The sequence below is a fragment of the Homo sapiens genome, chromosome 17 (genome assembly GCF_000001405.40).
Source record: "Homo sapiens chromosome 17, GRCh38.p14 Primary Assembly".
In the NCBI taxonomy this organism is placed as follows: Eukaryota; Metazoa; Chordata; class Mammalia; order Primates; family Hominidae; genus Homo; species Homo sapiens.
Genome location: NC_000017.11, coordinates 19,497,665 through 19,512,338, shown reverse-complemented (window position 1 = coordinate 19,512,338; position 14,674 = coordinate 19,497,665). Strand labels below are relative to the sequence as shown.

The window sequence follows — 14,674 nt, the reverse complement described above, 5'->3', positions numbered from 1 at the left end:
GGGAGAAGGGTATCATGAGGCATGTAGACTCCTCTTCCCATCATGGCTTGAACTAGATTTTCAGGTTTGGAATGTCTTTGGCTGAGGAGGGGGCAGAGGTAGGGAATGGGGCGTGTCTGCCAGTCAGCTGGAGAGCTTAGACATTTTTATTTTACTATTTTGTATTTATTTTATTTTGAGACAAGGCCTCGCTCTGTCACCCAGGCTGGAGTATAGCAGTATGATCATGGCTTACTGCAGCCTTCACCTCCTGGGCTCAAGCAGTCCTCCCACCTCAGCCTCCTGAGTATAGCTGGGACTACAGGTGCATGCCACCACACCTGGCTAATTTTTTAAATTATTATTTGTAGAGATGAGGTCTTTCTATGTTGCCCAGACTGGTCTCAAACTCCTGGGCTCCAGCGATCTTCCTGCCTTGGTATCCCAAAGTGTTGGAATTACAGCTGTGAGCCACCACACCTGGTCAGAATTTTATTTTTGGTTTACAGAGTAATGGTGAACACAACGCCAGCGTCTATGGTGTTTGCCATGTGCCAGGCACTGTTTGAAGCTCTCTGTGTTCACTCATGCAGTATGAACTCTAATCCATTCACCGAATTCTCTTATTTGCCCTGTAAGGTGGGGACAATTATTATTCCCATTTTACTGATGAAGAAGTTGGGGACTGAGAGGTTAAATAAACTGTCCCAGGCCACACAACTAATCAGGGCAGGAGTCAGGATTTCTGGCCAGGTCCTCTCACTGTAGGCTGGAACATTTACTACTATTCTTTATTGTTTGTTGCTTCAAAATAATAAAACACAGGCAAAAAGATTGTTTAAAAAATCTGTTATCTTGTCACCCAGAGATCATTATCACTAACGTTTTGGCGTGTTCCTTTCTAGTCCTGTGTGAGTGGGAGTCTGTGGGTCCCTGGCATTCTGTCTGTTTTATGCAAATGGGACCTTCCAGTTCTGTAGTCCGCTCTGAACACTTTTTGCCTCTATTCCCAGCCACTGTCAGTTTTGTGTATCCTCTGGAGCACGAACTAGGCTGAGATCACCCGGTTTCTTTCTGACACTCAGCTTCTAGAGTTCTCTCTCCCACAGGCAGCTCCAGGGAATGAGGTCGTGAGGACTCTTCACCCAGGCCTGGCCAGGCAGTGTCCCCGGGGCTGAAGTCCCCGCTGAGGGAGGCTGCCCCTCCTCTGAGGTGGGAGTGGGGCTGACGCTGAGGAATTTCTCATGTTGAGTATCAAGTTCAGATGGCGCGTGGGAGGAACAGAAGGTGGGTTCCAGATCTCGGCTTGTGCCGCTTAGCTCTCCAGCTTTGGTGACATGTGCTCAGGCTTTAGCCCATTGAAGGAACAGATTCTGATAGGAACATTCTCAGTTCTGAAGCCCAAGCTCATTCCTCCCCTCTGGAGCCAAGGATGCCAGTATGTGGTGTAAACTAAAAATCCTAGGTTCCCCAGGCCGGGCGCGGTGGTTCACGCTGTAATCCTAGCACTTTGGGAGGCCGAGGCGGGTGGATCACGAGGTGAGGAGATTGAGACTACCCTGGCTAACACGGTGAAACCCCGTCTCTACTAAAAATACAGAAAATTAGCCAGGCGTGGTGGCGGGCGCCTGTAGTCCCAGCTACTAGGGAGGCTGAGGCAGAAAAATGGCGTGAACCCGGGAGGCGGAGCTTGCAGTGAGCTGAGATCGCTTGCATCCCAGCCTGGGCCACTGAGCGAGACTCCGTCTCAAAAAAAAAAAAAAAAAAAAAAAATTCCTAGGCCCCCCAAACAACGGAACGGACCCCTCCTCTCGGCCAAGCGCAATTCTAAAGTAAACCTGAAATACGAGTTCAGGCCGTGGTGGGAATGGGTGGTCGTGTTTCCTTATACCTTCCTCCCTTTGGAATTCAGGCACAGTTGACCAGCACCAATTTTAAATAGAGACCTTGGCCTGGCGTAGTGGCTCATGCCTGTAATCCCAGCACTTTAGGAGGCGAGTGGATCATCTGAGGTCAGGAATTCGAGACCAGCCTGACCAAAATAGTGAAACCTCATCTCTACTAAAAGTACAAAATTAGCCAGGTGTAGTGGTGCACCAAGCCTGTAATCCCAACTACTTGGGAGGCTGAGGCAGGAGAGTCGCTTGAACCCAGGAGGCGAAGGTTGCAGAGATCCTGCAGCCTGGGCAACAAGAGGGAAACTCTGTCTCAAAAAAAAAAAAAAAAAAAAAAAAAAAAAAAAAGAAAAGAAAAAGAAAGAAACAGAGACCTTAAGACTGACTTTTCGTAGCAATAAGATACTAACGTGACAGACAGCAGGCCCTAAAAGAAATCAAAGAATTTTATACCAAAACATAATTCCTTGACTTTTTTTTTTTTTTTTTTTTGAGACAGAGTTTCGCTCTTGTTTCCCAGGCTGGAGTGCAATGGCATGATCTTGGCTCACCGCAACATCTGCTTCCTGGGTTCAAGCGATTCTTCTGCCCCAGCCTCCTGAGTAGCTGGGATTAAAGGCATGTGCCACCACGCCTGGCTAATTTTGTATTTTTAGTAGAGATGGGGTTTCTCCATGTTGGTCAGGCTGGTCTCGAACTCCTGACCACAGGTGATCCGTCCAGCCTACTTTTTGTTTTGTTTTGTTTTTGAGACAGGGTCTCACTCTATTGCCCAGGCTGGAGTGCAGTGGTGTGATCATGGCTCACTGCAGCCTCCTGAGCTCCTGGGCTCAAGTGATCCTCCTGCCACAGCCTCCTGAGTAGCTGGGACCACAGCAGTGCACCACTACTTCCGAGATGGGGTCTCACCATGTTGTTCAGTCTGGTCTTGAACTCTTGGGCTCAAGAGATCCTCCCTCCTGGGCCTCCCAAAGTGCTGGGATTACAGGCATGAGCTACCATGCCTGACCCTCTATTTTTATAATACGGTTGAGCAGTTTTCAATTTGTATATTTAGTCATGACTGACCACATATTTTGAATCACCACAATATTCCATTTTATTCTTTTTTCAACTCAGTCTAATCTGCTGTTAAATATATCCATTGTGTTTCTAACTTCAAGTATTAAATCTTCCATTGCTAGAATTTTGTTTTTAGTTATTTACACATATATTTTTATTGTTTATCGTTCTCTAGTTAACTTTTTGGTCTCCTCTTTTATTTTTTGAAAAAGATTAAACATATCCATTGGGTATTCAATATCTGATAATCTCCATACTGGAATCTGTGGATCTGATTCTGCTGTTTTTGCAAAAACAGTGGACAGCAGAATCAGCTTCACAGACTTTATTTTCCTTTAAAATGTATTATGAGTAAATTTCGACTGGGACTTTATATGTGGGAAAACTAAAAGGCCTGTTGTGAGGATGTATTTCTCTCAGAGAGAATTTACCTCAACTTCTGCCAGCATCTGTGGGGTATCCTAACCTGGGAAACTATAATTTCTTGGCCTGGGGCTTTTGGACCACGCAGGTGGAGAGAATTCAGACCTGAACATCATGTTTCGTAACATTAGATCCTATGAACCCGCCAACCAGATATCATACATGGTAACAACTGTTAGACAACATTGAAGTGAATATCCAGGCCTTACGGCTGTGGCCGAATCATAGACCTGCTGAGAATGAGGTGTCAATTCAGGTGTCAGAGAAAGGACCACCAGAGAGATCATCACTGAGACTAGGAATCCCTGAAAGTGCGGCAGACAAAAAAAGAGAAGTTCAAGGCAGGCAGGGAGAAGACGGAGATGCAAAAGACACCAGTCCTTAGGGTGGGGAACCCACTTCCGGGAAGCGAGGGACCCCTTCCAGGTGAGAGCCCAGGTGAGTGGGGGGCGGGCAGAAGTGGGCGTGGGAGTGGCGGGCGGGGCGCCCTCCCTGCGACACGGCTGGGTGGCTTCCGGCTCCCTCGCGGTTCGCTCGGAGGGTTGGTGCTGCCCCTCCCTCGGAACGGAACGGCGTTTTTATTCCCAGGGAAAGGAAAAAGAAGTTGCTTTCCGTTGCGTTGGAAGGACAACATATCTTGCAGGGGGCTTAATTTCTCATTTATGACTTTTATTCCGCTCTTTCCAATCCTCTACAATTAAGAAAGAAAAAAAAAAAAACCCAACCTTGACCCCGACGTGACTTGAACACGCAACCTTCTGATCTGGAGTCAGACGCGCTACCATTGCGCCACGAGGTCACACCAAAGTGGTGACTCCGCATCGCTAAAGACCTCGTTTCTGCAGTATGGTTCTAGGGCTGGGAGGCTAAGGAGGAAAGACGCCCTCTTTCCTGAATTCCAGCACCAATTCAGAGCGCTAGCGAGTGTGGTTTCTCCGGTGCGGGAACACAGACGCGCTGGAGCATCCCAGCCTGAACTGCGGCGCCGCAGCGGAGCAGCCACCCGGCGGCCGAGACTCGGGCTCCGCCTCCTCCGCGTCGCGTAGTGACCCGGCGAGGGGACGCCGGGGTGCGGGGACTGGCACCGGGGGGTGGGATTAAGGAGATGCCCAGGAGGAGGCCCAGGATCGGGGGGATCCCTGGGCCATGGGGATTCTGGGAGGGAGCGAGGGGACGCAGGGGAGAAGGGGACGCAGGGGAGAAGGGGACGCCGGGGCGGACTAGGGGACGCGGGGGTGGGTGACTCCGAGGAGCGGTGAGGACGCCGGGGGTTAGGGGTGAGGAGATGTCCAGGGGAGGAACGAGGGACTAGAGGAAGCCCAGAGGGCAGGGGGACCCCGGGGTAGAAGGGACTCTGAGAGGGAGCGAGGGGACGTCGGGGCGGGGGTGGGGACGCGGGTGGAGGAGGGAACGCCGAGGAGGGAGGTGGGTTGACTCCGGGCGGGGCTGGGGACGACGGGGCCTGGCTGGGGGCGGCTGGGCGGCCGTCAGAGGCGTTCGCGGTCGCCGCTCGCCGGGTGCCCTGCCTCCTGTGAAGCGGCGACGTTGTCGTCGGGAGGCGGCAGGAACCCGGCGTGGCGGCCGAGAGCGGATGGCGGCGCGGGGGACGCGGGGGCGCGGGGCTCGGGGCTCGGGGCTGCTCCTTTCTCCTCTCCTCTCAGGGGACAAGCGCGGGGGTGCGGAGGGCGACGCCCACGGCCAGGAAGCACCTTGCCAAAAAGACTTGGAAAATGCCACATTTCTTTTAATTTTTGAGACAGAGTCTCGCTCTGTTGCCCAGGCTGGAGTGCAGTGGCGCAATCTCGGCTCACTGCAACCTCCGCCTCCCGGGCTCAAGCGATTCTCCTGCCTCAGCCTCCCTAGCCTCCCGAGTAGCTGGGATTACTGACGCCCGCCACCACGCCTGGCTAATTTTTTTTGCATTTTTAGTAGAGACAGGGTTTCTCCATGTTGGCCAGGCTGATATTGAACTACTGACCTCAGGTGATCCGCCCGCCTAGGCCTCCCAAAGTGCTGGAATTACAGGCTTGAGACACTTAGCCTGGCTTTTTTTTTTTTTTTAGACAGGGTCTTGCTGTGTTGCCCAGGCTGGAGTGCAGTGGCGCGATCTCGGCTCACTGCAACCTCCGCTTCCCGGTTTCAAGCGATTCTCCTGCCTTAGCCTCCCAAGTAGCTGGGATTACAAATGCGTACCACTACATCCGGCTAATTTTTGTATTTTTACTAGAAATGGGGTTTCACCATGCTGGCCAGGCTGGTCTCGAACTTCTGACCTCAAGTGACCTGCCCTCCTTGGCCTCCCAGAGTGCTGGGATTACGGGCTAAGCCACCGCGACTGGCCTGTGCATGGTTTTAAACGGCTCATTGTCCACTTAAGACTCCGGGCTCTTGTGGGAGTCTTGTGGGAGTCAAGTCCCTGATTTGAACAGTACTTTCTTCTTCCTATTAAATAAGAAAAATAAAACAGTGAGTGAATGCTTTTTTTTTTTTTTGGATGGAGTCTTGCTCTGTCACCCAGGATGGAGTGCAGTGGTGTGATCTGGCCTCATTGCAACATCTGCCTCCCAGGCTCAAGCGATCCTCTTGCCTCAGGCCCCCACTTAGCTGGGATTACAGGTGTGTGCCACCATCCATGGCTAATTTTTGTATTTTCAGTAGAGAAGGGATTTCACCATGTTGGCCAGGTGGTCTGGAATTCCTAGGCTCAAGTGATCCTCCTGCCTGGGCCTCCCAAAGTGCTGGGATTACAGGTGTGAGGTACTGCGCCTGGCCAATAAGTGAGTGAATAAATTTTTCAGTAAAAAGGCTAGTAAATAGGCCGAGCGTGGTGGCTCATGTCTGTAGTTCCAGCACATTGGAGGGACCAGGAGGGAGGATTGCTTGAATCCAGGAGGTCGAGGTTGCAGTGAGCCATGATTGCACCACTACATTCCAGTCTGGGACAGAGCGAGACCCCGTCTCAAAACAAAACAAAAAACCTTATTAAATAAGAAAGATAAACTCTCCTGGTCTGTTGAAGAACATGAAGCATCAATCTTAATTCAATAAATACAACACTGTGGGGAAAAGCAAGAGAGATCAGATTGTTACTGTGTCTGTGTAGAAAGAAGTAGACATAGGAGACTCCATTTTGTTCTGTACTAAGAAAAATTCTTCTGCCTTGAGATTCTGTTAATCTATGACCTTACCCCCAACCCCGTGCTCTCTGGAACATATGCTGTGTCAAACTCAGGGTTAAATGGATTAAGGGCGGTGCAAGATGTGCTTTGTTAAACAGATGCTTGAAGGCAGCACGCTCCTTAAGAGTCATCACCACTCCCTAATCTCAAGTACCCAGGGACACAAACACTGCAGAAGGCCGCAGGGACCTCTGCCTAGGAAAGCCAGGTATTGTCCAAGGTTTCTCCCCATGTGATAGTCTGAAATATGGCCTCGTGGGAAGGGAAAGACCTGACCGTCCCCCAGCCCGACACCCGTAAAGGGTCTGTGCTGAGGTTTAGTATAAGAGGAAGGCATGCCTCTTGCAGTTGAGACAAGAGGAAGGCATCTGTCTCCTGCCCGTCCCTGGGCAATGGAATGTCTCGGTATAAAACCCGATTGTACGTTACATCTACTGCGATAGGGAAAAACCGCCTTAGGGCTGGAGGTGGGACATGTGGGCAGCAATAATGCTTTGTAAAGCATTGAGATGTTTATGTGTATGCATATCTAAAAGCACAGCACTTGATTCTTTACCTTGTCTATGATGCAAAGACCTTTGTTCATGTGTTTGTCTGCTGACCCTCTCCCCCCTATGTCTTGTGACCCTGACACATCCCCCTCTCGAAGAAGCACTCAAGAATGATCAATAAATACTAAGGGAACTCAGAGGCTGGCGGGATCCTCCATATGCTGAACGCTGGTCCCCTGGGCCCCCTTATTTCTTTCTCTATACTTTGTCTCTGTGTCTTTTTCTTTTCCAAGTCTCTCGTTCCACCTAATGAGAAACACCCGCAGGTGTGGAGGGGCAACCCACCCCTTCACAACACCCACAGGGCTTTATGCCTTTTAGAAAAGAAAAGATCTGGCTGGTGCGGTGGCTCACACCTGTAATCCCAGCACTTTGGGAGGCCTAGGCGGGTGGATCACCTGAGGTCAGAAGTTGAAGACCAGCCTGGCCAACATAGTGAAACCCCATCTCTACTAAAAATACAAAAAAATTAGCCTGGCGTTGTGGCGGTGCCTGTAATCCCAGCTACTCAGGAGGCTGAGGCGGGAGAATCGCTTGAATCCGGGAGGCGGAGATTGCAGTGAGCTGAGATTGCGCCATTGCACTCCAGCATGGGCAACATGAGCGGAACTCCATCTCAAAAAAAAAAAAAAAAAAAAGAAGAAGAAGAAGAAAGAAAAGAAAAGAAAGAAAAAAAGGAAAAGAAAGATCTGGCCAGGCCAGGTGGCTCACGCCTATAATCCCAGCAGTTTGGGAACGAGACCCTGTCTAAAAATAAAACTTTTTTTTTTAAATTTTGTATTTATTTTTGAATCAGGGTCTTTGTTGCTCAGGCTGGAGTACAGTGATGTGATCACAGCTCACTGCAGTTTGAACGCCTAGGCTCAAGTGATTCTTCCACCTCAGCCTCCTGAGTAGCTAGGATTACAGGTGCACAGCACCACACCCATCATTAATTAAAAGTTAAGTTTTAACTTTTTTGTAGAGACAGAGTCTCACTATTTCGCCCAGGCTGGTCGTGAACTCTTGGCCTCAAGTAATCCTCCTGCCTCAGCCTCCCAAAGTGCTGGGATTACAGGCATGAGCCACTGCACCCAGCCTCCACTGTGTTTGGACACCTGCTCAGATCTGTGGCTGCACCTGTGATGTCCTGGCCCCCTATTTTCCTAGGATATGGAACCAAGCACTGTCTTGTGTTCTATGACAGAGGTAAGACATTAAACTACAGTATAGCGTTGTGATCAAATGAAGAGATTAGATCAAGTGACTTATGCAGATGTGGCTAAAGGGTCCCTTTAAAGACTAGGACTCTGGCTGGGCATGGTGGCTCACACCTATAATCCCAGCACTTTGGGAGGCTGAGGCAGGCAGGTCGCTTTAGGTCAGGAGTTCAAGACCAGCCTGGCCAACATGTGAAACCCTGTCTCTATAAAGCAAACAAATAAATAAATAAATAATAAAGACTAGGACGCTACTTACCAGGGCAAGGACTAGGAGTGAGGCAAGCATGCAGTTGTGCAGGGTGGAAACCCATCTTATGTAAAATTTTGATACTTTGTTCATCAGAGATTTTTGCACTAATTTTTACTTTTGGAAATATTAAATATTTTAAATGTCTTGATTGCTGAGTGTTTTGACAGCTCTTTGAATTATGCACCTGAGAGAGTTACATAGCGCCTCACCCTCCTCCCAGCTCTGCTGTTGCCCAGAAATTGTAAAGAATTGCTTCCTTATTTTAGAGTTTGTATATGCAAACACTAAACCTTATTTTTTTATTTTTTTTATTTTTTTGAGACGGAGTCTCGCTCTGTCGCCCAGGCTGGAGTGCAGTGGCGTGATCTCGGCTCACTGCAAGCTCTGCCTCCCGGGTTCATGCCATTCTCCTGCCTCAGCCTCCCAAGTAGCTGGGACTACAGGTGCCCACCACCGAGCCTGGCTAATTTTTTATATTTTTAGTAGAGACGGGGTTTCACCGTGGTCTGGATCTCCTGACCTTGTGATCCGCCTGCCTTGGCCTCCCAAAGTGCTGGGATTACAGGCATGAGTCACCACGCCCAGCTAAACCTTATTTAACAACAACAACAAAAAACTTCTGTAGAATATAGAAAATTGACAAATACAAACTAGGATAATTACCAACATTGGCAAGAATATGTGGAAATAAATATTGTCATGCAAGATGGGAAAAGCACGTATAAATTGGAACTTGCTTTTTGGATTATAATATGACAAATGTTTTTTAGATGCTTTTGTCTAGACATTTCTATTTCTAGAGAATATGTACTAAAGAAACAAGGATAAATGCAAAGATATGCCTTCAAGATTGTTTTCATAAAAATTGTGTTTATAATCATGATGCCTCAGAGCATCTTGACTGTCCCGTTGTACAAATGCAACCTAGATTTCCAGGGCATGAGGCCGGGAAGCTGACCCTCGTGAGAGCTGGCCCCTATGCATGAACATACAAGGCTCCTGGAGTAAAGAGGTATGACAGTGACGACTCAGAGTGACTGTTGTGGAGGAGGCGGAAGGACGCAGGGGTTACGCCACAAGCACATTATGAGTGGGGCTGCCTCATCACTGAGAAAAACACGCACAGCTTGGTTTCCTGGTCTCTGCTTAGTTTAGTATCATCTCACACCTAGGTGACTGGTGGGTGTTTTTGTGTTTGTTTTTGAGACAGAGTCTCACTATGTTGCTCAGGCTGGAGTGAAGTAGCACCTTCGTGGCTCCCTGAAGCCTTGAAATCCTAGGCTCCAAGGGATCTTCCTGCCTCAGCTTTCCAAGTAGCTGGGACCATGGCCACCATCCCCAGCTAATTTTTTTTTTTTTTTTTTGAGACAGAGTCTCACTCTGTCGCCCAGGCTGGAGTGCAGTGGTGGGATCTCAACTCACTGCAAACTCCACCTCCCGAGTAGCTGGGATTACAGGTGCGCGCAACCATGCCCGGCTAATTTTTGTATTTTTAGTAGAGATAGGGTTTCACCATGATGGTCAGGCTGGTCTCAAACTCCTGACCTCATGATCTGCCCTCCTCGGCCTCCCAAAGTGCTGGGATTATAGGTGTGAGCCACCATGCCCGTCTGCCTGGCTAATTTTTTAATTTTTTTGTAGAAACAGGGTCTTGCCATGATGCCAGGCTGGTCTTGAACTCCTGGGCTCAAGCAATCCTACCCCCTTGGCCTCCCAAAGTGCTGGAATTGCAGGTATGGGCCACCATACCTGGCCCAGGTGTATTTGTTAGTCAAGACAAAGTCTTTACTTTTTTTTTTTTTTTTTTTTTTTGAAACAGGGTCTTGCTCTGTTGCAGGGCTGGAGTGCAGTGGCACGCTCATGGCTCACTGCAACCTCTGCCTCCCGGGCTCAAGGGATCCTCCTGCCTCAGCTTCCCAAGTAGCTGGGACTACAGGTGTGTGCCACCACACCCAGCTAATTTTTATATTTTTAGTAGAGACGGGGTTTTACCATGTCGCCCAGGCTGGTCTCAAATTCCTGGACTGAAGTGATCTGCCCACCTCGGCCTCCCAAAGTGCTGGGATTACAGGTGTAAGCCACTGCGCACAGCCTTGGCTCCTGTTTTCTAAGGGGCTGAAAATGTTCCAGCTCCCCAAAGCCCATGGAAGATGTCATTTATCTTTCAGATTTACACATTCCTGATCTGACAAATTCCAACCAGAACTTGAAAACTGAACCCTGAAGGGAAAAAGCACACTGCCCTGTGGAGTGGGTTATCTCTACCACCACACCAAAGGTTTGGGGGACAGACTTGCTCTTGCAGGCTGGCTTTTTGGGAAGTATCTGCTGACACAGTGATTTTGGGAGTAACACTTATGAAAGGAAATGGGAGTTGGCCGGGTTGGCAGGGACAGCCATCAGGCCAGGATGCATGTGTACAAACTATCTCTAGATGCCTGTATTCTCTGCCTGTCCATGGGGAGCTCTGTTAGGGGAATCCCATGTCCCATGGAAATGGCTTGCCCTGTACCACCACCTTGCTCAGTCACCGGCCAGGGCCACTCCTGTGGGATGGTGACATTGGCTGGAAAGCTGAGGTAGGCAAAGGCCAGCTGCAGGCTGTCCACTAACTGCCCTTGTATGGCTGGACAGCAAGTTCTCCCTTGGAGGAGGACCTGAGGACCACATCTGGGATTTGCCACAGCATGCAACATACATTTGCAGATTTTTCCCCTCTTTGTTTTTTACCCATCTCTGATGTCCTACTTCAAGCACCAATCCCAACTATGAGTGCCCCAACTGATAGATGACTCCAGATTCTTAGGAGCGAAGTCTCTGGATGATCTCTAGCTCCCCTGCTCCCCGCTAACAGGGAATTTAGCCCAAAGGAAAGAAAGGAACTCCTGTTTCCCATTGTGACAGAAAATCTTTCTTCTAAGTCCCAACACCAGCTAGCTATGCCACTCTTCAGGACGAAAGATCCCATTAAAACTGGTGGCATGCCTTCAGTTTCCATCAGAAATCCTCACTGGGAGTCAGTGTGGGCTTCATGCAGATCCCCAGGCAGAGGGAGCCTCCACCAGGCTGCAGCCTCCTGACAAAAAAAGGCCAGTCTGCGGTGGCTCACACCTGTAATTCCAGCACTTTGGGAGGCTGAGGCAGGCGGATCACGAGGTCAACAGATTGAGACCATCCTGGCCAACATGGTGAAACCCCGTCTCTACTAAAAATAGAAAAATTAGCTGGGCATGGTGGCATGCGCCTGTAGTCCCAGCTACACAGAAGGCTGAGGCAGGAGAATTGCTTGAACCTGGGAGGTGGAGGTTGCAGTGAGCCGAGATCATGCCACTGCACTCCAGCCTTGGGACAGAGTGAGACTCTGCCTCAAAACAAAACAAAACAAAACAAAACCCCAGTCTGAATGCCATGTTATGGAGATGGAGGAAGATCAAAGTGGAGTCTAGCTGCTACTTGGGGGTAAAAATGCAGATTCGGGGAGTTTGTGAACGTTGGGCATTTAGATTTTCATGATGATTTTGTTTGATGCCAGGTTTTCATTCATTTCATATGATGTGCCTCAAGGCCCTCAAATAGGAAAGAAACCCTCTCTTAAAATGGGAAAATCCAAAAAGATTACAGGTGGAAACAATTGCCTTGTTTTTTCTCTCTGCCTGTCCCCCTTTTAAGGCTTCTGTGACCTATTAGGCTTTGGTTTTTCCGAAGATGTGGTTCAGTTCAAACCCATGTAAATGTGGCTAAACAGTCAGGGCCTAAAGTCTTTCAATGGTCTGTCTGATTAGAAGAGTGCCATGTATGTTCAATGGTCTGAAGACACTAGAGTGATTTGGATGCCCGTTGCATTGGAGAAATGGAATGTTGGAAGTGGAAAGTGCTATGTCTCTTGGGGTAACAGCTTGTGAGTGCAACTAGCAAGGGATGAGGATCCTATCCAGCCAGTCCCTATTTGACAATAAATATGACTTTTTCCATTTATCTTTGCCCCCATGACAATTTTGGCTGACCTTGTCTTTGGAGATGTTTTTCAGCCTAGAGAGCTGGACTCGGTACTTTATTAAACCCAAAGGCCATGCTTCCTCAATGCTCACAAAATGCAGCTGATGATGAGTGTGGCTTATTAGTGAGGGCTATGTGCAGAGAGAGAGGCCCAGTGGCAGACAGAGCTCTGTAATTCTGTCAACATTAATGAATATGAGGCTGTCTTTTTTGGACCACCACAGCTGTCTTCCAACCTGATATATGATATTAATTGTAAAAGAGGGCTTTGTCCTAATTGGGATTTTTGTTGTTTGTTTTGTTTTGTTTTTTGAGATAGAGTCTCGCTCTGTCACCCAAGCTGGAGTGCAGTGGTGTGATCTCGGCTCACTGCAACCTCCATTCTCGTGCCTCAGCCTTCCCAGTTGCTGGAATTACAGGCATGCACCACCACGCCCAGCTAATTTTTGTATTTTTAGTAGAGACGGGGTTTTGCCATGTTGGCCAGGCTGGTCTTGAACTCCTGACCTCAAGTGATCCACCTGCCTTGGCCTCCCAAAGTGTTGGGATTACAGGTGTGAGCCACCGCAACTGACCTGTTCTAATTGTTAATCAGAATTTACTTTTATGGGTTTAAAATGTCTTCATGGGCCTGGTGGGGTGGCTCACACCTGTAATGTCAGCACTTTGGGAGGCCAAGGCAGGTGGATCACTTGAGGTCAGGAGTTTGAGACCAGCCTGGCCAACATGGTGAGACCCTGTCTCTACTAAAAATACAAAAATTGGCTTGGCACAGTGGCATGTGCCTGTAATCCCAGCTACTCGAGAGGCTGAGGGAGGAGAATAGCTTGAACCCAGGAGATGGAGGTTGCAGTGAGCAGAAATTGTGCCACTGCACTCCAGTCTGGGCAAAAGAATGAGACTCCATCTCTAAATAAATAAATAAATAAATAAATAAATAAAATTGTAAAAATGTCTTCAGCAATACAAATAAGGAAGATCTAAGGTATGGAGATCCATTCTACCAAGAAAGAGGTAACAACTATGCCAAAGGGCCAGATGTCAGGACAGGGCCTCAAGTCCTTGCTACCTACTAGCTGTGTGATTTTGGATGGGTCACCCAACTTTTCTTTGCCAGTTTCCTCAACTCTAAAATGTGTGGAGTATAACCTATCTCAAAGGGTTATTGTAAGGATTAAGGGAAGTAATGTATGGAAATGGATTCCAGAGAGAGCAATTTTTGGATTCCTGATATTTAGTGTGCCTAGTGTATCTAGGCTTTCACAGATATCTTGGTTTGTTTTCTGTTGCTATAACAGAATACCTGGGGAGGCTGGGTAATTTATAAAGAATAAGCTTATTTAGCTCACGGTTTTGGGAGCTGAGAAGTCCAACAGCATGGTGTCGGCATCTGGTGAAGGCCTTCTTGCTATGTCATAACATCGCAGAGGGCGTCACATGGCGAGAGGGCAAAAATGTGCATGTTATCTCAGGTCTTTCTTCCTCTTGTTATAAAGCCACCAGTCCCATAATAGGACTCTGCCGTGATGACGTTATCTAATCCTAATTACCTCCTAAAGGCTTCACCTCCAATAAACATATGAATTTGGGGATTTAGTTTCCAACACATGAAATTTGGAGGACACATTCAAACAATAGCAACAGATATGTCAGAATTTAGGACTTCATGGGGTACAGAGCTGACAAGTGCTATAGGACTGAGATGTATAATTTAACCTACTTCTAGCTTCTCTGCAAGCATGAGTGACAACTAAGTTTGCTGTTAATATTTACAGTGGAGTCACATAAACCCAAAGACACCATGGTGTGAGTGGGCCCCTTTTTCTAATTACTTTGTTGTAATGTTGGTTTTCTTTTTCCCTTTCTCATTTCTCCTCTCAAATTTACTCTTTCTCTGATTAGGCCATATGGAGTCCAATCTAATCACTCTGATTGCATGCTCAGAATCCAGATTGTGTGAACTTCTTGTGATGCTTTATGAATGTGTAAATTGGCCACAGAATTGGTGTGAATCTGATGTGAATCACTACAGAATGATTCACAAACCAATTCTGAGTGGTCTGGAAATGCAAATCTTTGTTACTTTATCTAATATTTTTTCCTGAGGACCTGTTATTTTCCTAGCACTGTATTATAC

General features: G+C 48.1%; 1 non-coding gene across 1 annotated transcript, besides 6 other annotated features; it reads right to left on the bottom strand.

Moving 5' to 3' along the window:
- Nucleotides 1,450-2,071: an enhancer, noted in NCBI's record as "H3K4me1 hESC enhancer chr17:19413581-19414202 (GRCh37/hg19 assembly coordinates)". NCBI's record gives its function as "activates a minimal SCP1, AML or CMV promoter by ChIP-STARR-seq in primed H9 embryonic stem cells {active_cell/tissue: H9 hESC(primed)}" and the evidence as "EXISTENCE:reporter gene assay evidence [ECO:0000049][PMID:30033119]".
- Nucleotides 4,087-4,158, bottom strand: TRW-CCA2-1 (tRNA-Trp (anticodon CCA) 2-1). The gene has a single exon. It is a non-coding gene; the product is annotated as a tRNA-Trp (tRNA).
- Nucleotides 4,426-4,505: a silencer, noted in NCBI's record as "silent region_8296". NCBI's record gives its function as "represses an Ori minimal core promoter by ATAC-STARR-seq in GM12878 lymphoblastoid cells {active_cell/tissue: GM12878}" and the evidence as "EXISTENCE:reporter gene assay evidence [ECO:0000049][PMID:35858748]".
- Nucleotides 4,586-4,635: a silencer, noted in NCBI's record as "silent region_8295". NCBI's record gives its function as "represses an Ori minimal core promoter by ATAC-STARR-seq in GM12878 lymphoblastoid cells {active_cell/tissue: GM12878}" and the evidence as "EXISTENCE:reporter gene assay evidence [ECO:0000049][PMID:35858748]".
- Nucleotides 4,746-4,805: a silencer, noted in NCBI's record as "silent region_8294". NCBI's record gives its function as "represses an Ori minimal core promoter by ATAC-STARR-seq in GM12878 lymphoblastoid cells {active_cell/tissue: GM12878}" and the evidence as "EXISTENCE:reporter gene assay evidence [ECO:0000049][PMID:35858748]".
- Nucleotides 4,876-5,045: a silencer, noted in NCBI's record as "silent region_8293". NCBI's record gives its function as "represses an Ori minimal core promoter by ATAC-STARR-seq in GM12878 lymphoblastoid cells {active_cell/tissue: GM12878}" and the evidence as "EXISTENCE:reporter gene assay evidence [ECO:0000049][PMID:35858748]".
- Nucleotides 6,260-6,859: an enhancer, noted in NCBI's record as "NANOG-H3K27ac hESC enhancer chr17:19408793-19409392 (GRCh37/hg19 assembly coordinates)". NCBI's record gives its function as "activates a minimal SCP1, AML or CMV promoter by ChIP-STARR-seq in naive H9 embryonic stem cells {active_cell/tissue: H9 hESC(naive)}" and the evidence as "EXISTENCE:reporter gene assay evidence [ECO:0000049][PMID:30033119]".